The sequence below is a fragment of the Homo sapiens genome, chromosome 2 (genome assembly GCF_000001405.40).
Source record: "Homo sapiens chromosome 2, GRCh38.p14 Primary Assembly".
NCBI lineage: Eukaryota > Metazoa > Chordata > Mammalia > Primates > Hominidae > Homo > Homo sapiens.
In genome coordinates, this window is record NC_000002.12 from 159428789 (window position 1) to 159453044 (window position 24256).

General features: G+C 35.5%; 1 protein-coding gene across 48 annotated transcripts in view, besides 1 other annotated feature; it reads right to left on the minus strand.

The window, feature by feature from the left end:
• Positions 1 to 24256, minus strand: part of BAZ2B (bromodomain adjacent to zinc finger domain 2B) — a 397131-nt gene that overhangs the window by 113477 nt on the left and 259398 nt on the right. For 31 of the 48 annotated variants that reach the window (XM_047444047.1, XM_047444046.1, XM_047444040.1 and 28 more), the window contains 7 exons: positions 19454 to 19621; positions 17994 to 18187; positions 10221 to 10424; positions 9515 to 9907; positions 3969 to 4575; positions 2075 to 2368; positions 412 to 472 (listed from right to left, as the gene is read on the minus strand). In XM_047444047.1, the coding sequence (XP_047300003.1) occupies positions 412 to 472; positions 2075 to 2368; positions 3969 to 4575; positions 9515 to 9907; positions 10221 to 10424; positions 17994 to 18187; positions 19454 to 19621 (1921 nt within the window). The remainder of the gene's footprint in view (positions 1 to 411; positions 473 to 2074; positions 2369 to 3968; positions 4576 to 9514; positions 9908 to 10220; positions 10425 to 17993; positions 18188 to 19453; positions 19622 to 24256) is intronic. The other 17 variants (XM_047444059.1, XM_047444062.1, XM_047444061.1 and 14 more) reach the window with 3 other exon arrangements.
• Positions 8951 to 10150: an enhancer, noted in NCBI's record as "MED14-independent group 3 enhancer chr2:160294250-160295449 (GRCh37/hg19 assembly coordinates)". NCBI's record gives its function as "activates an origin of replication core promoter dependent on BRD2, BRD4, P300/CBP and CDK7 cofactors, and independent of MED14, by STARR-seq in HCT116 cells {active_cell/tissue: HCT116}" and the evidence as "EXISTENCE:reporter gene assay evidence [ECO:0000049][PMID:35650434]".

A 24256-nucleotide genomic window follows, 5' to 3' on the forward strand; every position in this document is an offset into this window, starting at 1 on the left:
TCTAAAAGCTGTCATTTCTAATTAAACCATTTTAGCCAAACTCTGGTTGAGTCCCTCAATTTTGACCAAAGTGGCTTTTACTGTCCTTTAATTCTATCTTCACAAAAACTTCTCACAGTCTCATGTACTCCTGCCCTTTGCCATCTGATTTGCTCTTGGTTCTTTTTCAGTCATGTTCCTACTTGGCTGTATCATCCCACCCCAGCTCTGCCATACCTCCAGGAAACAGGATTAATTTCAGTTTTCTGATATACCAAATTCCTTGCCCTTTGCTCCGGCTCTTCTGCTCTAATAAATACTATGCAGCTATGTACTTCTTCTATTAATTGTAGAGAATGAGAAATCAAGTATACATCAAACTTGCATAAATATATGGGGGAAAAAGAAAAAGGAAAACCTTATTTTGCATACCCATATTCCAATGGAATACGCAGTTCACGTTCATCTGTTACTCTTCTTCTTTTGGAAGTGCCTTTAAAAAAATTCAATTGGTTAATATAAAACATTCATTAATATAAATAATAATATTGATAGTTTAGAAACTTTTCTTTAAAAAAGTATATGTTAATAACTTGGATTTAGTGTATTTCTGTAATTTATACATTATTTTTAGATGGTTTTCAATAAAACACTGTATAAGGCAGGGGGCTTTTTTCTTCTTTTGGGTCTGAATGACAGGATAACTAGTTTTTCTCTCTAAAGAAAATACAATCCAAGGTAAAAATATACACCTTTCCTCTCATTTTATTATTAAAGAAATGGCTAGAGAAGCAGGAGAGAAATAGAGGTTTCAGAAAATCTATTTAAACTGTTGACTTTGAAAATAGGAGTTTTTGGATGCTGAAAAATTTCAACAGCTGGCTCATATATTTAAAGACGATTTAATTTCTATGTCCATATAAATCCATAGTCAAAAACACTACCAGGTCTTTTAATTAACCTAAGCCACCAAGGAACAGGATTATGATTTTATGTAAAAATTTTCTAAGACCGAGATCAAGTTTCACAAACACAAATAAGTTCATCTAAAATTAGTAGGCTATCATATTGGTATGTGGTAAATGAAAGTAAAGCTAGAAACTGACAAGAGGAGAGTGAAATAAGTAAAACAACAAAATATTTTACTATATACATCTATATTTTCTTAGACATTGAATGAGAACTGAGAGTAGTTGTGGAATATTAAGTGTATAAATGTTTAATGAAGACCTCTAGGAATTTATAAAAAGTCAAATGGGAAAAAAAAGGACATGGCACGTTAATGGAATAAGAATGCTACTCTCTAATAGAAAAGACACTGGCTATATATTGGGCAGATAGCATCTTAAGTAACCAAGTGAGCTTTTTTATAAAGTACAGTTGGCCCTTGAACAATATGGGTTTGAACTGTGTGAGTCCACTTATATTCAGATTTTCCTCCGCCTCTGCCACCCATGAAACAGCAAGACCAATCCTTCTCCTCCTCAGCCTGTTCAACATGAAGATGAGAATGAAGATCTTTATAATGATCCACTTCCAGGTAATGAAGAGTCAATATATTTCCTCTTGCTTATGATTTTCTTACTAACATTTTTCTTTTCTCTTTATTGTAAGAATACAGTATATAACACATACAACATACGTTAATTGACTATTCATGTTATCAGTAAGGCTTCTGGTCAATAGTAGGCTAACAGTTAAGTTTTTGAGGAGCCAAAAGTTAGATGTAGATTTTCGATTGTGTGTGGGGCCAGTGCCCCTAAATCCTGCGTTGTTCAAGGGTCAACTGTACAAAAAAGTCCAACTGTCAATTAAATTCTATATTCTAGAAGCACAAACTGAACACAAAAGCAGAAAGGTTCAAAACCAAAGGAACTATCATCAATCAGATCCTTAAACTGGAAACTCGGGGGGAAAAAAAAGACCAGGTAATGAGTCATATCCTTTGAAAATACAGGCTCACCTTCCTTAGCCAACCTAAAATCTAACTTTAATCTTGATTCCAGTGAGATCATCTCCAGAACACTCTTATCAATAAAAATTCTTGCTATGGTTTGACTTCTACTTTAGAATAATAAAAATAAAGTGTAGGTACCAGAGTGTGGGCTTGAAGTAAGTGTGGAAGAAGATGTACCAAGAAAAGCAGGTGACTGGGATTCAGAACATAAGGCAGCAGGAGCAGAGCCTGGGGCTTTTGCTATGTGGAGGTTACGAGGTGTTGAGTGACCTGTGAGACTCATGGAAGGGCTTTTGACAGAGGAAGTTGTTTTATTCAGTTTCATTGAAGTTTTCTCTCCTTCAGTATCACTATCTGATTCATCTTGGTCTTTATCATCATCATCTTCTTCTTCTGATCCTTCTGTATCTGATTCTGAATTACTATCTGATTCTGGGAAGTAAAAGAAGCATTTGTATATTATAACTAGATAATCACCAATAATTTGCAGTTTGTATCTAAATGGACTAGCTCAGGAACCAGCACCTGTGAATGAGAACTCAAATGAGCAATTTTCCTACAGAGTAAATGTTATAAGCTATTTGAGAACAGTGTATTTAGGCTATCAATCTTCAAAAACAATTTTTTAAGTGTAAGTTTTACTCAACACTTTAAACAGTTCTCATGTGACACTATTCACATGATGAGTTCTGCTTAATGGCATCAAAATAATTTTTTATTTAACAGAGAAACTAAAGTAAAAGAGGGGATTAAATTGACTGTTCAAATGAACAGATTCCAATGGCTTATGAAGTACAGTAAGTCAAATATGAGAAAGAGAAATCTGAAACTACCAGCATACTTCCATTTGGGCTTTGGAGTAAAAGAAGACAATTTTCAACAGGAGATTCTTGGTCTTTTGGCTGCAGTTTTTCTATTTACATACAAGACTTCATCAGGCTTTTCAGGCCTCTCAAAAAACCAGGCTTACAGAAATAATTATAGTAGGATAATTCAATAATTTAAGTTTGTTCTAGCTACGTAGTTCTATGTATGATGCATCCATTCCTCTACATATGTAAAATCTATTACTAGATTAAACTTGATAAACACAGGAGTGATACTTAGACTGTTTCCTCATAGTTCACGGTACAATAGCTTCTGTGGAATTCTGGTTTGTGTTATACCATTTGCCTATATTGAAATTCATTATAAAAGTTAGTTTTGAAAGTTATGAATATTGATATTTATGATCTATCATACAAAGTTGTTTTATGGAAACCCCAGGAAGAGTGGTTTTACCCTGAGCACGAAGTTTGTTTTTAACTTACAGACACTTTAAATTGTACAGCTGAGTATATTTTCCTATTCATATTAGCTGCTAAAAAAAATTAGTTGAATCTGTAGTTGACCAGTAACAAATCCACAAACATTTATAATATGTATTTCATTTTTGTATTCGCAATTTAAGCTCTCTTGTATTTTATGTTTTCAGTCTTCTGTGGAATGAGGAGAGGGAAGGAAAATAAAAATGCAAAGAAGTTAACCCTAGACCCAGCAAAAAGAAAAAAAAAAGTGACTCAAAATTAAATCAGAGAGTCCTCTATATGTTATTTAACAAATTTTCTGTTATTGATGAACATTCATAGAGATTTAGGTTTTTGGTACTTTCTGAATGACGACTATAATTTTATCTGTGTTCAAAACAGCTGGTGATGCATTTTAACAAGTAGCAGAAGAAATGAAAAAAGAGTGGTCCTGAATGAAATAAAAATTAAGCAAGTTGATGAAATTATGTCTTAATTTATGCATCATTTGTATTCACCCTAAAGTGATTATTTGTTTAATGTCAAATGAATAACAAGCTGAGAATCTGACTTAGGATTTCCAGTATCAATTACTCCTGTATTTTATGAGCTCATTATAGAAATGCACAAAGTTGTGTGAAACATAGTAAATGACGCTGATTTTAAGTCTGAATTAAGAAACCCTTTAAAATGTTTGGTTCACATAGCATTTAGAGAAATACTTTAAATTTTAAAATGAAAATAACCTGATTGGCTGTCATCAGATTCATCATCTTCATCATCTTCCTCATCTTCTTCTTCATCATCTTCCTCTTCATCCTCATTTGAATCTTCAGAATCTTTACTACTGGGAATGTCTGAATCTGTTCCTCTGAATTGTTCCACTAAAGATTTTGCAGGATGGGAGTGATGCTGTGTTTTTACTGGGTTTACATTATTGCTAACTGCTTTTTCCTTCCCTTGACTATGCAGGATGGGAGAGGCAGAGGGCATTACAGGTGTCTGATTGCCAGGGGTTCTTCTCCCACTTGTACTCAGATTTACAGGTGAGGAAAAAGGGGTGCTACTTGCAGCAGCAATGTTTTCATTAATCTTGCTCTGCATTTTAGTTTTGGTAGTAAGTGCTAGAGGAGCTTCTTGAATGACACTTTGAATAACTCCATTTGGTTGGTGATTACCTAAAAGTGCATTTGTCAAGAATGGATTTGGGTGGTTGTTTTCTAATGTTTGTTTTGGATGTGCTGGTGAACTAGAGGTTGCTTTTGGATTTGACAAAGCTGCAATAACCTTCTTCAGGCTCTTCGATGACTCTTGTTTCTTTAACTGTGATGGGAATGCCTGTTTATATTGTTCCTGTTGAAACATAAGTTAAAAAACACAACAAAATGTACCACAAAACAAAGATTGCTTTTATTTGCTTTCAATATCTGAAAACAAATTATAGCTATTATATCATATATAAATTTAAATCATGATATACAAATGCTGTAAAAGTAGCAACAGCTATGACTAGTTGGTTGCTACATTTTGGCTCTAATTTATTAAAATTTATTTAGTTTTTCCCCATTAAAAATTATATGCCTTTTGACTAGCCTCCCCTCTTTACTGTTGCTTCCATTTTCACAATAATCCAAACTTAAAACCATTTTCTTTGCATGAAATAGCCTCCTCTTAGAAATTTCAAGCTGACAAAATACTGTTTATTCTTCAAGATCCAAACCAAGAAGCTTTCCAAATTTCCCAGCCAGAAGCATTCTTTGCCTCTTTCCTTTGAGCTCTTTTACCTCTTTATATAGATGCTCCTCAGCTTGCCATGGGGTGACTTCCCCATAAACTCATCGAAAGTTGAAAATATCATTAAGTCAAAAATAGATACAATACACCTAACCTACCAAACATCATAGCTTAGTCTAAACTACCTTAAATGTACTGAAAACACTTACATTAGCCTAAAGTTGAGCAAAATAACCTATCAACACAGTAAACTGTAGAGTATCAGTTGTCTGCCCTTGTTATCATGCGGCTGACCAGGAGCTGTGGCTCACTGCTGCTGCTCAGCATCAAGGGATTATTGTACCAATTTCTACTGAATGTGTATAGCATTCGCTCCATTGTGAAGTTGAAAGATCATAAGTCAAAGAATTATTATTATTATTATTATTATTTTTTGAGATGGAGTCTTGCTCTGTCACCAGGCTGGAGTGCAGTGGCGCGATCTCGGCTCACTGCAACCTCTGCCTCCTGGGTTCAAGTGATTCTCCTGCCTCAGCCTCCCAAGTAGCTGGGACTACAGGCATGCACCACCATGCCTAGGTAATTTTTGTATTTTTAGTGGAGATGGGGTTGCACCATGTTGGCCAGGATAGTCTCGATCTCTTGACCTCGTGATCCACCTGCCTTGGCCTCCCAAAGTGCTGGGATTACAGGCGTGAGCCACTGCGCCCGGCCAAGTCAAACAATTCTAAGTTGGTGACTATATGTACTCTTATGCCATACCACCTTTAGTATACATAGAATATGCCTATATGACTTATACCTCTAAGGAGATAACTTAACATCTTTGATAAATTCCTCAGGGTAGAAACACTCATTTATTCACCTTTATGGTCTTCCTAAGACATTGCTCAGAACCCTGTGCTTGATATGTACTCAAAAAACAATTTTAGGTTGCTGAATGAATAACTTCCTGAGCAAGAACTTCTTTGAAGCAAAGATTTAAGATACTAAGCTGGTGGAAATGGACATTCAACATTCTGTGGGATCTACTTTAGTGTGCCTTTGCACAGTAATATTCCCGAGTAAACAATTTAGAAAAATACAATTTTCTTGGAAAAGATTATAAACTATTAAGCCATAAAATTTATGTCTATAAACAAAAACTTATTTAACTATTAGAATCCCCTTGAAAACAACACAATCATGAATTTTATTAAGCTACTATAATTAAAATATTACATAAAAATTAACAGCAGCAGAATTATTAAAATCCTTTGAGTTAACAGAAGGAGCTGAATTTCTTAATCTAAGGTAAAATTCTGCATTGAAAATGATTGCCTTGAAATTAAAATCAGTAGTGTTGTCAGCATCAGACCTGGGCTCCTAACACTAAAATCAGCAAAGATTTGTGATGGAGATTTCACAAGTGTAAATGCTGATGGAATGTTATATAAAATACTTATAAATATTTTATTATTATTATTTTTTTGGACTCTGTCACCCAGGCTGGAGTGCAGTGGCACGATCTTGGCTCGCAGCAACCCCCACCTCCCGGGTTCAAGCCTGCCTCAGATTCCTGAGTAGCTGAGACTATGGGCACGTGCCACCATACCTGGCTAATGTTTTTGTTTTTTTTAGTTTTTTTTTTGAGACAGAGTCTCACTCTGTTGCCAGGCTGGAGTGCAGTGGCGCGATCTTGGCTCACTGCAACCTCCACCTCCTGGGCTCAAACGATTCTCCTGCCTCAGCCTCCTGAGTAGCTGCAACTACAGGCACACCCCACCACGCCCAGCTAATATTTATATTTTTAGTAAAGATGGGGTTTCACTATGTTGGCCAGGATGGTCTCGATCTCTTGACCTTGTGATTCGCCTGCCTTGGCCTCCCAAAGTGCTGGGATTACAGGCGTGAGCCACCACGCCCAGCCTTTTTTTGTATTTTTAGTAGAGAAGGGGTTTCACCATGTTGGCCAGGCTGGCCTCGAACTCCTGACCTCAGGTGATCCACCTGCCCTTGGCCTCCCAAAGTACTGGGATTATAGGCGAGAGCCACCGCACTCAGCCTGAAATACTTATTAAATATTTTAAAGCAGCAGTACTAACAAGCAGTAAGCAATGTAAACTTTTTATCTTATTTAACATCTATACTGTATTAGTTTAGAAAATTGTTAAGATAATTCTTTGTAAATAAAAACTGTCACAAAATATTTGTACCTAAGGCAATACCTTACAAAGAGAAAGTGCTTAATTAGTAATTATTCAGTAAATTCTAGAAAATTATGCTAGTTAGATGTACCATTTCAATGTAATTTTATAGCAAAATTCTTACATAAAATACTTTAATATACAAGATTCAAATTTTCAGCAGAAAAATTAGTGTGTTTTCGTTTGTTAGAACATAATTATGTCATGTAATAATTTTGTAATCTTTTTTTATAGGTAGTAAGTTTTCCTTCTAAATATATAGGTCTAAAGGGCCATGAAAACAAAAGTCCCTTTAGTATTGTATTTTAATTTTCTGCAACTGTTCCTCACTGTAATTCTGAAGAATCACTTCCCATATATTGACACCAATAAGTTTTTAAAAATAGCCAAAGATTTCTATATTTTATCCCAATTACTCTTTTATAGTACACATATTATCATTTTTAAAATCAGGAGTGATGTGTAAAAAGGAGATGGAGAGAAAATTGAGACCTGTATAGCAGCAAATCTCTTGCTGCTTTAAGATATCCATTTGGGGCCAGGTGTGGTGGCTCACGCCTGTAATCCCAGCACTTTGGGAGGCCGAGGCAGGCAGATCACTTGAGGTCAGGAGTTTGTGACTAGCCTGGCCAACATGGTGAAACCACATCTCTACTAAAAATACAAAAAAATTAGCTGGGCATGGTGGCGGGCGCCTGTAGTCCCAGCTACTCGGGAGGCTGAGGCGGGAGAATGGCGTGAACCCAGGAGGTGGAGCTTGCAGTGAGCGGAGATCTTGCCACTGCACTCCAGCCTGGGCAACAGAGCGAGACTCTGTCTCAAAAAAAAGAAAAAGAAAAAACAGTTGATAAAAGAAAGCTGACAGAAGATCTACAAAATTCTACTCCTGGTCTATGTATTCAATCAATCTATATGGATTTAAGTGACATTTTCTTCAGTGTAAGGGTACTGAAGGATTCAATGATTAAATAACCTTTAAGAAAATAATGAACTAATGAGGGATGCAGGTAGGTACCTCTACCTCAATAATAGGTACTGACAAAGAGAAGGTAGTACCTTTTAGAGTTGAGTCTAATGTAAATGTCTAATTTTATCATCTGTAAATGAGGATAATATTAGTAGCACTCATAGATATTATTACCAATAAGTTAACGTATGTTCAGCAATTAAAACAATGGCTGGCAAACAGTAGATGCCCTACAAGTGATATCTAATTAAGTCGCCTAAAGATAATATTTGTAATATTGTGTTCAAACATAATGGTTTCCTACTCTAGGCTGATTCTAGAATAAAAAGCAATAATCATTTAATTATTAGAATTTTTTGCTGGACATATGAATTTAGTCTATGTAGTAAAATCAACAGCAAGAAAAACAAAGATGAGAAAATTCTCTGGAGTGTTTCCAGTGTTTGTGTAAGTAGAAGTTATATTTCATATAATCCATTAAGAATGACAAAGGAAAATTTTTTTTTTTTTTTTCGGTAGAGACAGGGTCTCACTATGTTGCAGAGGTTGGTCTCAAACTCCTGGGCTCAAACAGTCCTCCTGCCTTGGCTCCCAAAGTGCTAGGATTACAGGTGTGAACCACCATGTCTGGCCAGAAAAGTGATTCTTTATGAAGGGTTTTTACACTTAAAATGTGTACATTCTAGGACTACAGAGGTAAATTACTTGAGTTCACTTCTTTGAAAAAGAATATATTTGGCCGGATGTAGTGGCTCATGCCTGTAATCCCAGCATTTTGGGAGGCCGAGGCGGGCAGATCACTTGAGGTCAGGAATTTGAGACCAGTCTGGCCAACATGGTGAAACCCCATCTTTACTAAATATACAAAAATTAGCCTGGTGTCGTGACGCATGCCAGTAGTCCCACCTACTAGGAAGTCTGAGACAGCAGGATCACTTGGATCCGGGAGGTGGAGGTTGCAGTGAGCTGAGATTGAGCCACCGCACTCCAGCCTCGGCAACAGATTGAGACCCTGCCTCAAAAAAAAAAAATAAAAAAAAATTGGTATTAGGAAAAAAAGGACATTAATTTTAAACCCAAGTAATTGTGAAGCTTGTCTTACTCAAACATATTTATCCCCTTATTTCTAAATCCTTAGATCTTGGGTGTGGGGACTTACCTTAGGCATGGGTTGCAGGGGAGCTGGAATGACATGATTGCATTGCCAAAAATACATTAAACAGATACATATATGAATATAAAATCAGAGAAATTTAGTTTTCTGCTGTACATATTCTATTCCTGGAGACTAAGAAAGTATAAAAATGAAGGTAGAATTTAACTTAAACTTGTGTATTGTAAGACAATATAGAAGCTCTATCTTTCTCTAATAGTAAAATTCTTGTATAAATAATTTGTAACTCACCCGTTTGGATCTCAATTCACTGGTCAATAAACTAGATTCTTCAGAGGTATTTTTATTCCCTGCTTTAAGAACATCAGGAGAAGGAACTATGAGTTTCATGTAAGTTTCCTTTTTGGCTTGATTTACCAAAGATAAAGGTTTCACATTGGACACCAATCCCGTAGACTGTATTACACTGGTGTGTTTGTTCACAGATTCCTCCTTTGCCTGAGAGCTTTGGAAAATAAATGGAAGCTGCTGTGACAAAACCTGAGGCTGCTTCTGCTGGGATTGGAATGAGTGAGTCTGGGATTCAGACGCAAGAGGTAATGGCTGGTGTATTCTTTTTTCCTGGGCTTTTTCAGTTGCTTTCTGTCCATCTGCTTTTGGGTCTGAAATACCATGTAATAGCACCTAGATATAAAAATGAAAAGGTAAGTTCCTAACATCTATTAAGACAAAGACTATCAAGCAGTAAAACCTGGAGATAAAAACGGGTACTTTCAAAGTGTTCTTAATGCCTTATGATAATATCTAAAAATCTAAAAATTCGTAAAAGAAATACCGTATGTCCCTTTAAAAACATTTCTTCATCTTCTTTCTTGGGCAAAAGTATGAACTCAAAGTAATGATTAACTTTAAAACTACAGACTTTGAGAGTCAAGATAAACCAGTTAATTCCTAAATATGAATAATGTTTGGATACTGTCCATGAAAAAAATTATACCTGGTTGTTACTTTTATGTTGTGCTTCACTCTCTGAATCAGAATCATCATCTTCACTTTCTTCAATACTTTGATCTTCTTCTTCTTCATCTTCTTCTAGATCATCTGAATCACTGCTACTAATGCCTTCACTTGAGGTGTCTGATGATGTGCCTGAATCACTATCACTGTTGCTAGAACTTTCCATTGCTTTCTTCCTTGGTTTCTGGATAACGACAAGGTAGTTGGCAAGACTTTATTTTTGGAAAACATTCAAGTTTCAATAAAAGGTGTACTCTTTTTAATTTTCAAATGATATTTTCAATCTCAAAATGTCATTGTAGGAAAAAGTCACATATCGTAAGGATAATTATTTAACAAACTGATCAACTTAACTTACATGACAGAACTCCTCAATGAAAAGTGCAAGCTCTGTCATGTAGAATATTGAAAATATCAATATAGCATATGTGTAGATGTACTCATATGACTGTTATTCTTCAAAATGTATGACAGATTAAAAAGATCAGTTCACAAAATAATTCCAACTATGATACATACATCAAAAGTTACACATTTAGCTTTAGTCTTCTTTCTTTTTGCAGACAGTGAGTCAGTAGCCAAACATTTACCTATAACATGCCACACACACCTTTCTGGGTATGTCCAAGACTGAGTCCTTGCCTTCAAGAAACTTACTAGTGCTGGTGATAGGGGAGGGTACACAAATGCTTAATATAAAAGCAAATTATTCCATATAATAATAAGTGCTGTAGAGAAGATAAAGTAGGGTAGCAAAAGACCTATGGGGCTGCTTTAGTTAGGGTCAAGGAATTTAACTGTTTATGTTTCATTTCAGAAAATATTAAAAAAAAGGTAGAAGATGAGGTAGATAAATATGACGAGAGAGATTTATTTTTGGAACATTTAAGACTCTGCAAGAAAAATAAAATCCAAAGCTGGTAGAAAGTGGTTATTAGGTCACATAAAAGTGAAGTTTTGTGTTCAAGAAAACATAATAGTAGTGGACAAAAAGAGGAAAAATCATGAGATGTATTATAACAAATTAACAAACCAATCAATTAACTTATAAAAGAACTCCTCAATAAAAAGTACAAGCTCTGTCATGTAGATTATTGAAAATATTCATAATTATTTAACAATGGGAAAGTTAAAATTTCACCAATAGAAAGACTGAAAAGGAGAAACATTGAAATGATGGAGCCACAAGATTAAGTACAATCTAGGAACATTTTAATGGCATTTGCTGATAAAGAACAAAATATAGAAAAAATAACAATAAATTACAAAAGTTATGATCTTAACAGAAATACATCCTTTTATGACTACTCGGGATTGGGGAATGAAATACAGTAATATATCTCCACAACAGAGAGCCAAATTGAAGCCACGGTTACAGATTGCAAATCTGTAGTCTTTTTATTGTGTCTTCTGAACATTGATTCAGGTAACATTCATATGAGTGAGGAGAGTCACTCCCGCCATTATATTCCGTTTGCAATGACTCTTGTTTTTTTTTTTTTTTTTCGGGGACAGTCTCGCTCTGTCGCCCAGGCTGGAGTACAGTGGCACGACCTCAGCTCACTGCAACCTCTGCCTCCCAGGTTCAAGCAATTCTCTGCCTCAGTTTCCTGAGTAGCTGGGATTACAGGCGCCTGCCACCACGCTAATTTTTGTATTTTTAGTAGAGACGGGGTTTCCCCATCTTGGCCAGGCTGGTCTTGAACTCCTAACCTCATGATGCACCCGCCTCGGCCTCCCAAAGTGCCGGGATTACAGGTGTGAGCCACCACATCTGGCCTTGCAATGACTCTGCTTTAACTGCTCCAAACTAGTTACAAGAAGGCCTCTTTCAAAGATACACACTTCAATAAGCAGACTAATAGTTCCCATCATTTCTTGAGTTTTCTTCCCTCAAAGTAGGGCAGACAGGAACGAGAAACTGAATTGGAATTGTATGGGTACCCACACAATGAGAAAGATCACAAGGTAGAGAGATTAAAGGAAAATAATAATATATTAATATTAAGACTACCATTTATTTGTCAAAGAAACAGCTACTTCTTTGCAACCAAAATCTGTTGTAGTTTTCTAAGCATGTATAGCAAGACCACGAAAATCATAAGGTACCTAAACTGAAATTAACATTTTTGTTTTAGTAAGGGATAACAAAGAAAAGAAATAAGAGAGCTACAGTGATTTAGCAGAGAAAAATTAACTCCTATTTAAATGCCCAAGGAATAAGTGTGTAGCTTTTTATTTAAAGATGGCATGAGAAATGGGGACTATACTCCCCAGGAACAGTCATCCAGAGGTACTGGTTCTGAAGCTTTAGGGTGCATAACATTCCTGAGTCCCACTTCTAGACAGGGCACTTAATGTGATTCTGATGCAGGGAGTCTCTGCCGAGCATACTTTGGCCATGTGTAAATAGTTCTATTTTTATAAGGTAACACATTTAGTACTCATTAAAACAAACAGAAATGAGAAGACAAGTGTGAGTATTAGAGAAATAGGGAAAAAAGATGGGTTTGTATCACCAGTTTCATTAGAGTATATATGTGTCATTTCCACAAATAATTAGCTAGTAAGTCTCTTTTCTCTTATTTAAAATGTTTTATTACTTACAAATTTTTTAAATTTAAAACATTTTTTTAAATGAGTCAGGGTCTCACTTTGTCACCTACGCTGGAGTGCAATGGTGCTTTCATAGCTCACTGCAGCCTTGAACTCCTGGGCTCAAGCGATTCTCCTGCCTCAGCCTTCAACTAGTTGGGACTATAAGCTAAAACATTTTAAAAGTTAGTCTTCTTAGGTTTATCAAAAAGTGATCAAAGAACAGCTTATTAATTTTCCCCCATCCAATCTGGGAAAACTTTTCAGAACCTTATCCTTGAACCTTCATTTCACTGTATATTTATTTCTTTTAGTAACAAAACAAATACATATTCAAGGCTATGATGTACCAGGCATAGTTGCTCAAGTCTCTGGGGATACAAGGGTGTGAGAAACAGACACCAGCTCTGCCTAGTGAGAACTAGAAGAAGAGAATCAACAAACAATTTAAATAAATATTTTGAGTGATAAATACCATAAGTAAAACAGAATAACTGGATAGACAATGTGTGGTGGGGAGTGGGGTGGGGTTTTGCTTTACATGTAGTCAGCAGGTAAGACATTTCTGAGCTGAGACCTAAGGGAGAGCAAGAGCCAATCACCCAAGGACATAAGAGAAGAGCCTTTCAAGACGGGAAACAGCAAAGGAAAAAGCCACCAGCTAGAAGTGGGTTGAGTGTGTTCCAAAATGAAAAGGTCAGCAGACCAGTTAGAGCATAGTGAACCAGGGAGACAGTGATAGGAAATAAGCATGGATGAACTGGTGGAGGTCAGATCACACAGCTCTTATAAGTCATGGCAAGGACTTTATTCCCACTGGGATAGAACACTAGTGGAGGGAGTGATGACATTTGATGTATACTTCCCCCTCATTTTTTTATTGTGGTAAAATACACATAACATAAAATTTACTATCTTAACCATTTTAAAGTGTATGGTTCAGTGATATTAAATACATTCATAATGTTGTGCAAACATCAGTGCTATCCATCCTATAAAACTGAAATTCTATACCTATTAAACACTAACTTCCCATCCCTCCTTCCATGCTAGCCACTGGCAACAATCATTCTACTTCGGTCTATAATTCTGATGAGTCTAAGTACCTCAAATAAGTGGAATCATACAGTACAGTATTTGTCCTTTTGCATCTGGTTTACTTCACTTTGTATAATAATGTCCTCAAGGTTCATCCATGCTGTAGCAAATATCAGAATTTCCTTCCTTTTTAAAGCTGGATAATACTAACATGTATTTATGTATGTGTACACATGTGCCTCCCCATGTATTTTGCTTATCCAGTTATCTGTTGATAGACACTTTGGTTGTGTCTACATTTCAGCCATTGTGAACAATGCTGCTATGAGTATGGGTATACAGATACCTCTTTGAGACACTGCTTTCAATTTTGGGTGGTATATACCCAGAAGTAGAATTGCAGAATCAAATGGTAATTCAATTTTTAATTTTTTGAGGAACTGCCATACTGTTTTCCACAGTGGCAGTATCATTTACTATTCCCTAACATGTGATACTTTCAAACCATAAAAAATCAGATATGTTTTTAAAGGCTATTTTGGTTGTTGTGGTAAGAATAACTTGTACGACAGTTGGGATAAAACTCATTCAACCTTGAATTGTTTTATTCTTTTCTTAACAGGCTGTATATTTTAGTCTTAGTTTAATTATTTAATTAAAATATCAATATTTATTCTAAATGTATATGCAGACTATATGAGGGGACTGGACTTAATCAATGACTTTCAATGAGAATGGCTGAGATAAGTACCCCACCTCCCATGGGAGGTATCAAAATTAGCTGAACTTTTTTTTCAAACTACATGTGAAAAGAATGAATGAAGCAACTTTTTAAAAAAGTTTTGAAAACTGAAGAAATACTGGGTGAAAAAGTATAGGATTTTCTTCTTTAGTTCCAATGCCCTTTATCTCCATTTTACTTGAGCAACCCACTCCCACAAACCCATGCTGAACCACATATCATCTGAAAGTGCTGTTCTTTTGAAATCATAAGTTCTAGTATGCCTCACTTGAATAGACAATCTCTCTATAATGTTATTTCTGCTTAGTTGCCTTAGACACTACTATGGTACCTCAGAATCTATCTCTAAAACTGGGTAGAAAGAGGTGCCTCTTTGAGTTTTCAGTATGTTCTCCTAGTAACAGTTTTTAGTATGACAGCACTGATTCTGTTTAGGAATGTCAATGTAGATTCCTCATTAGAACTAAGTACAGGAACTGTGTCATATTCATGCCTCCAAGATCTTGTACAATGCCTTACACATTGTAGAGGCAACAAAGATTTTACTTGATTTTAGCACTACTTCTTAAGAGGTAGGATAGCATAAGGGTTAAAAGCATGGGCATTTAACTTTTGGAAGCACATATAAAAATGCATCCAATGATATGATGTCTGGGATTTGGTTCAAAATAATATGGGAATCAGAAATGGATGGTTTCAGTCAGTGTCTGGCATCAGAGAAACTGGCAGTAGCTCAGAGATAGGACCTTAGCGCTTACACCGAGACTGCCATTGAAACAAATCCTATGGGAGAAGAGCCAAGAGCAGGTACAGAACAACAGGTGGAGAGTATGACACTGATACCTGTGTCCCTGGGAGGAAACAATTAAGAATCTTTTATCATGTTTGCTTCAGTGCTCAGTGGTGTAGGTTGAAAGGGAAAGAAAATGGTTGTCTTGGGGCCTATGTACAGTACTTTTGCATTTTTGTGATGGGTACCGTCAAGCTTCTTAGCATTACCAGATGGCCTTCCCCCAAGTCTTCATATAAGCATGTTATACTCTGGAAAATGTTTTCTATTGAGAAGGAAATTTAAAGATTTAGAGGAAATATATCTATGAAATATGCTCAGCAAAAGAAAATAAATGTATTTGTTCAGTTCTGTTTCATTTGTTCCAGAAAATATATGGAGCTTGATGCTGTCTTGAAAAAGGATAAAGAAAGTTTGACAAAGTAGTTCTTAGGATTAAAAATTGGTGTATAAGAGGCAGTAGTTCAGATTTAAAGTTTGGATCAATGTCATGTGCAGTCAGTGACTACCCATATCTTGCTATTCTTGTTGTGATGTATCAGAAGCTTCCTGTCACAATATTACAGCTGAGATGGTGAAGAACATCATGTGTGTAGGATCACAAACTTTTGACTCTCTTCCACTGGAAAACCAGGCCCTGAAAGCAGTTTTTATAAAACACAGAAGAGAAGACACAACTCTTATCTTTGTTTCCCAAATGTTTGCAGTTGATGACAAGGCTTTAACTGGGACCTCTCACTCAAGAAGAAATTAAAAATTGGAGCAGACTAAATCCACTGATAAGAGTGTTCTAATACATAATATGCTAGATCATATAGTTAGAGGCTTCTCAGCTTACTTAGTTAGATAAATGAAACCTGGACTCAATGATGACCTACATTTTATAAAATTGAGATGTCACAGCTTCTGACATAATGTGGAAGAGGGAATCCAAAAGTGCAGAGTGATCAGAATGTAGAAGTGAATTTACCACCTGCAAGCTGCATACCCACCCTACTCCTGGAACCAATGATAAGAGCCAACAAGATCTACTCAGGAGGAAGAAATCGCATTAACAATCTGAACAGGAAAAATTTAACATAAAGAATTATTGATTAATAACAGAAGATTAACTACTAAGAGGAATAAAGTGACCTCTAAATAATACAGGAAAAGGAGATGTAGGGAATATGTACTTTTTGTAGGGCTAAGGTAGAGTAATGAAATAAAGATAACCTTTGAAAAGGGACTTTTTCCCCCAACCCCTTCATTCACCCAAGGCTAAGTTTCAGACTTTGTGGGAGAGGATGTGGCTATTGCCCACTGGATGGCAGAGAAACTCAATGAGGTATCACAGTCAAGGCTGACACACACAAAACACTGCTTGCTAAGATACCAGAAAAACATGGCTGGGAACCTGTCAGCTACAGTGGCAGTAAAATTAGTTTGAAAGCCACCTACTTTTCAAAACTTGCTAGTAAACTGCCTGCTGAGATGCCAATGAAACTCACTAGACAGTGTATACTACTGGGTCTCCTGACCACCACTGGATCTCCTGGATACCACCAGTAGAGAAGCTGTCAGCCAGCAAGCAAGCCACCCATTGGCAGCCACAGCGTAAGAAAAAGAAGAAAACACTAGAACCAGAAAAAGAAGTCCCAGCCACATGTGGTGGTTCATGCCTGCAATCCCAGCACTTTGGGAGGCTGAGGCGGTGGATCCCTTGAGCTCAGGTGTTCAAGACCAGCCTTGGCAACATAGTGAGATCCCATCTCTGCAAAAAATGTAAAAATTACCTCGGTGTGGTAGCATGCACCTGTAGTCCCAGCTTCTAGGGAAGCTAAGGTGGGAGGATAACTTAAGCCCGGGAGGTGGAAGTTGCAGTGAGCTGAGATTCTGCCACTACACTCCAGCCAGTGCAACAGAGCCAGACTCTGTCAAAGGAGAAGAAGAAAGAAAAAAGAAGAAAGAAGAAGAAAAAGAAGTAACATCTTCTTCCAGTGTTCTTCCAGGACCTTCTACTAACAAGGACTAACACTGCAAGAAGTGGCAAAGAAGAAAAGAGTGATTGAGAGCTGAGAGGCAATAAATTGATAACTTGCAAAGTTGGGGATATACATGAAATAAAACTGGCCATGATGCGACAACTGTTGAAGCTGAATAATAGGTACAAATGGTCATTCTGTCTACTTTGTATATTTGAAAGTTTCCATAATAAAAGGTTTTCTTATTCACTCTTTTCTAATGCACAGGAGTTAACCCACTTGCTTTCAAATCCTGGCTCAGTCACTTAGTGGCTAATTATTTTGGTGCTTTGCTTCTCCATTTGTAATAACAGTAGCTACTTCATTTCGGATACAGGGAAGAGTTAAAAGTTATATGAAAAGCAATTAGAGCAGAGCTGATATGCAGTGAATTCTCAATACATTTTATCTATTATTACTATTTGTATTATTTATACTGGTACTGACACCATAAATCACGTATCTATAAAAATAAAAGTTGGTAATTCATAAGAAATTAAACCATAGATTCTGTTGATTTGACCTTCAGAATGCTCATCTTATATATAGATCTGTTATATATTAGTCCTTCCAAGTACAACTTACCTTATCTTTGATTTTGTCAACTCTAGCATCCAAAGGCTGGTTTTTGCTTTGTTCCTGATTACATTTTCGATTTCCTCCACCTGAGCTTGTACTTTTAGTTTGTCCCATGGAACTTGAAGCAGTAGTGGATAGTACAGATGTGTTGATACCAATTACAGATGATGTATTACTTCCATTTATTGACCCATTTACACCTTGAAAATAAAAATAAACATGTTTATACAATGGAATATTATTGCATCATTTAAAAATGAAGTACAGATATATGTACAGTTGGATGAACTTGAAAATATGATAAGTGAAAGAAGACAGAAAAGGTCATGTTGTATGATTCCATCTACATGAAATATTCAGAGCAGGTAAACCTACAGGGACAAAGTGAAAACTGATCGCTTCCAGGGCTGAGAGAGAGGGGAATGGGAGGCAACTGCTTAATGGGTACAAAGTTTCCTTTTGCAGTGATAAAAATGTTTCAGAACAAGATAGAGGTGGTGGTTGTACAACACTGCAAATGCATTAAATACCAGTAAATTATTCACTTTAAGATGGTTAATATTATGTTAAGTGAATTTCACCTCAATTAAACAAAATGTTTAGAAAGATAATGAAATGCAAAACTTTGTGTTTTAATTGTAAAACACATTAGAGAACTTTGTAAAACACTTCAGTGAAAAGAAAGATAGTAAATCATCTAAAATGTTGTTATAATTTTCAAATTATATTCTAACAAGTTATTAATTGCAGAAATATTAGTGATCATTTAAAAAAGTACTAGGTTATTAATTTTAATGAAGTTAATACTTAATTACAAAAGAAGTAACACACTATATTGGGTTACATATAGGGAGGTAATGAAATACAGAGGAAAAAACAGTAGAATTGGGCTAAAATCCTGACTAGGCCACATCCATATGTAAGTAGTATTTTCTTGAACAACTTATTTGACCTTGGCTGTAAAATTAAAATACTTCTAATCTCAAAGAATTATTTTAAGAATTAAGCAAGAAAATGTGAAAAGGTCTAGCATAACACTATAAAACTGTTATTAAGGCCGGGTGTGGTGGCCTACGCTTGTGATCCCAGCGCTTTTGGAGGCTGAGGTGTGAGTATTGCTTGAGGCCAGAAGGTGGCCAGAAGTTTGAGACTGCTGGAAACACAGAGACCCTGTTGCTACAAAAAATAAAAATAAAATTTAAACACGTAGCTGGGCATAGTGGTACATGACTGTAGTCCTTGGGAGGCTGAGGCAGGAGGATTGCTTGAGCCCAGGAGGACGAGGCTACAGTAAGCTATGATCATACAACTGTACTCCAGCCTGGGCAAAAGAGTGAGACCTTGTCTCTATTAAAACAAACAAACAAACAAAAACAAAAAACAAAAAAAGGTATTAAACCTGAACATTATGAAAATAATATTAGAATGGAAGATTTATAGTACTTCACTTATGTAAATGTGGATACCTTTTTCGGGACCATTTCGATTACTTTTTCCCGAAGTCCTTGAATGGAATGAAGAAGAATCATGATTCTGGGCTGGGGGAGCAAATAGTGGTGGAATTCCCAGTAATGGTGGAAAGAAGGTTGCTCCTGTACGAGTATGAGCATCAGTTGTTCGCCACCATTCTGCACCTCAAAACCAAACAAACCAACCAAACAAAAATATATAAATTAACTTTCCAGTTAACGTCACAATGGCTTTCTATGTTTTATTTAAAAAAATTTCAAGTTTCATCTTGGAACAAAACTGAATTACTCATACTTCTGATCATTTTCCTAATTCTAAACAGTAGAACTTGTACACTTATCACTCTTCTCATTAGGTCAGTATCTAAGGATCTTCACTTGGCAGCTTTGTAGAGTTCAAACTTGTAAAGGACAAAGGTAGTCCATAGTTTAAAAAATGAAAGTGAAAACTTGGAATATAAAAGAAGTATTTCACTCTTTGATGACTTATCCCATAACTTTTCTCATCTGTTTCAAACCCTTAGAATTTAAGTTTACATCTACAACCTATGTTAAGACTTTCCTCAAATTACATACAATATAAATCTGGCTCTGATAAATCAGTTAGTCTAAATAATAATATAAGACTATTGTAATCCACTATATCTCAAGTACATTTATGGAAGAAAACTTCTATACTTAAAGATAACCATAAATATAGCAAAATCAGTAGGCCTTTTTATGTTCTAAAAAATAAGTTCTCAAAGGAGATTTCAAAAACAAGTAATTTCACATTAAAATATTAAAGATTTATAAAGCCTCTCCCCTTAAAGTTAATGATGAAAGCCTGAATTTTGTTTTTACTTCCACTCATTAATTACAGATAACAATGATTGTTTTATTGATATAAAATGACCAGTGGTAGAAAATCATTCAATAAAAGGTAAATACTTAAATAGTGTCTCTTAAAGTTTTAGAAAAGGAAATAAGCCAAATTTTATACATTTTTCAAGGAAGGATGAAGTAATCTTATATTGACCCATCTAAAATCTCAAAAACAATCTTCTCCAACTGGCTAGTCTGCTAGATTACCAAATCAGTTATTATCTTTCAGACCAATCTCCCAAAAGATATGGGGTATTTTTCATTGACTGTGACAACCATAAGAACATTAGAGGAAAAAAACCCACAACAATACAGTATGGGAGAAACTCAAAATTGTCAGTCTTTATATTATATAATATTAAAAACTTTTCTAGGAATATCCTTCATTAAAAATAGAATGTAAAATGGTATGCACCTTCATTATCTAATGGCAAAATCTGGTTTAAAAGAAAAGTGAAATTTTCATGGTAGCTGCCAGTCTCAAAGGTCTAAAAAACAGTATAAGTAGAAAACTGCAAAAGCTATTCTTCTGCACTGCAGGAAGGCATTACTAGTAAAATGACACCAATGTATATTCAGCCATGCCTGAACAATGGGAACTGAACCAAGAATAACTATACAAAAGCATTGATCATTTATCCACCGTTTAGATGAAAGATGTACATTTAGATAGGAAGAAAAAGTATGTGTTTTGGGCTTGTATCAGCACAGTCACAATCTTGTTATTTATAAGTTTGAAAGCTAAGTTCTACCTAGCTGATAAAAAGTTACTGTACTGAGGACCAGGCACAGTGGTTCACACTTGTAATCCCAGAGCTTTGGGAGGCTGAGGTGAAAGGTTCATTTGAGGCCAGGAATTTGAGATCAGCCTTGGGCAACAGAGAGAGACCCTGTTGCTATAAAAAATTTTAAAAAGCAGGGAGGGACTGAGGTTTCCCAAAGATATTTATATAATTTAACACAGAGTCTGTAATTAAAGTGGAATTCATAGACTTTGTAAACAACCAAAAAATTGCTAAGGTAATCAAAGTGTAATAAGACTCAAATATTTTAGACATAATCAAACTCAGAAAAAAAATTTTAAAAAGTATTGGAGAATGTCAATGGTAAATAAGCACATAGCTGGTGTGGTGGTATAGTTCTGTAATCCTCACTACTCGGGAGGCTGAGGCACAAGAATCACTTGAGCCTGGGAAATGGAGGTTGCAGTGAGCTGAGATCGCACCACTGCATTCCACAGCCTGGGTGACGGAGTGAAACTCTCTCAAAGAAAAAAAAAAAAAAAGTAAAGAAGCACACAGTAGAGATTAGAGAAAACAATGGGAAAATGTGTGTTATAAATAACCTGACACCACAGAAGAAAATACAAAACAATAAGATCAGTTAAATAAAAAGATGTGAATGGTAGAGCTTCTGACTATAAACTTTACAAATGTCTGATACTATTTCATAGGAAATAATTTTTGTTAAGTGACAAGCTTGTCTTCTAAATTTAGGAAAATAAACAAAATTTAGTCACAAACCAGCTTGTTGACAAAATGAAAAATACAAAATAAGGATTATATAAATCAGCATATGGTAAATTTCTAAGTATATTCAAAAGAAAGAACAGCATAGTAGCAACATTTAACTCTTTTTTTTTTTTTTTTGAGACAGAATTGTGCTCTGTCGCCCAGGCTGGAGTGCAGTGGCCTGCTAGGGGCTCACTGCAACCTCCATCTCCCGGATTCAAGTGATTCTCTTGCCTCAGCCTCCAGGGTAGCTGGGATTACAGGCATGCACAACCATGCCTGGCTAATTTTTGTAGTTTTGGTAGAGATGAGGTTTGGCTATGTTGGTGAGGCCTCAAGTGATCTGCCTGCCTCGGCCTCCCAAAATGCTAGGATTATAGGCACGAGGCACCATGGCCAGCCAATATTTGACATATTTAACTCAAAGATTCTATTAATAATATTTCAGAGGACATAACAGATCTCAATTTGAACCTAGAAGATTTAGCAGAATTTAAAAATCGTTCATACTTGATAGAGCCAAAAATACTTCGCAAAAATTCATGGTAATTTAATATGAAAATTAACTACAAAAAAGTACAAATATTTTTTAAATTATCATGAAATACTATTTCAATATAAAATGGAAATAATTTTATTATGCTAATACCCATTAAATAAATTTACATTTATTGATTTAATCTGAAATGCATAATACTTTAGAAAGTGCATAAAATATAAAAAATTATTCCTCATTAAAAACTCCTAGTAATATCTTCCTGTTGTGTCCTCATTTATTTACTGGGCAATTTAAAAGTCTGGCAATTTGGTTACCCTTCTGAATAAAGCCAATTATAGAAAATTTATATTTAAGTTACTGTAGGAAATCTGCAAATTAAACAAAATGAATCTTTGAAAACTAGGCATAGTCTCTGCCCATTTGGCAAAAAGTATGCTCATCTAGGCATACTTTTATCACTAAAGACTCTGTCTTGTAATTGTCTGTTCATCTATCTCCTAAAAACTGTAAGCAACATATAATATACTATGTTTATTCTTCTGTTTCTGGCCTTGTGTGCAGAGCATAGTAGATGTCCAAAGAATTTTGTACCTTAAATGAATAAGTGAATACTTTATTTTGGCTGGGGGAGCTATCAAATTTTTTTCTATATAGTAGAAGTATCAACATTATTGAACTCCAGATGAGTAATTTTTTAAATGTGTTAACCATCATTCTAGTACAAAAGACATTTGATTTTAATAATATAGTATTTACATTGTGGCTTAGAAATGTTCAAAAGCAACAGTGTAATAAAGCATGATAAAACAATAAAAATATTTAAGATATCACTATCTATATTGTTTTTATCTATTTTGATATTTATTCAGCAATCTTGTATTTCAGTAAATATCTGTGGAATGCTCATCTTGCTAAACAACCATGCTAGAAACTGAATAAATTCCTATTAATATTTTTGAAGGAAATGTTAAAACTTGGTTTAAGACTTCTTTAACTGTCCACTCACATTACTCCTCCTTAGCATCCCTGCTTCCCAGACAACTGAATTAAAGAAGTAATATGACTCAAGAAACAGTACTTGAAACACACATTTAACCATCTATCCTTTCTACACGTAGTTTTAAAAACACTTCTTTCCTTTTAAGGAAGGATTTGATAAATTATTAACCATTAAAGTGGGCAAAATGAAATAATAATGATAGTTACCAATTATGGACTAATTATGTGCACCAGATACTGTACTCAGCACTACATATGACTTAACTCCTTTAATCCTCACAAGAACCCTGTAAGTCAGATACTATTATTATGATTCTCGTTTTTCAGATGAGAAAACTGAGGCTAAGAGGTCAGATAATTTGTTCAAGGTCACACAGCTATGAACTAACAAAGCCAGATTTAAATTCAGGCCTATTTGTCTCTAGAATTATGCTATAACGTTTTAAATTATCTTACATACACTAAAACATGCAGACCTCACTAAAATTTATTAAAGCCAAATTAATCTATAGAAAATACATACAAATTTAGGCTTTCAAGATAATATAACAAATTGAAGCACGTTTGTCGAAAGTTTTAATTAACTGATGTCTTACTGAACTACTAAATCCTCATTATCTATAGAATTTTGGATAATACTGGTCTTCTTCCATGTAAGTGGTACAACTCTCTAGTTGTTTTGATCAAATACAGAAAAATAGGCTGGGCACAGTGGCTCACACCTGTAATTCCAGCACTCTGTGAGGCCGAGGTGGGCGGATCACTTGAGGTCAGGAGTTCAAGACCAGCCTGGCCAACATGGCGAAACCCCGTCTCTACTAAAAATACAAAAATTAGCCAGACATGATGGTGCGTGGCTGTAATCCCAGCTACTCGGGAGGCTGAGACAGGAGAACTGCTTGAACCTAGAAGGCGGAGGTTGCAGTG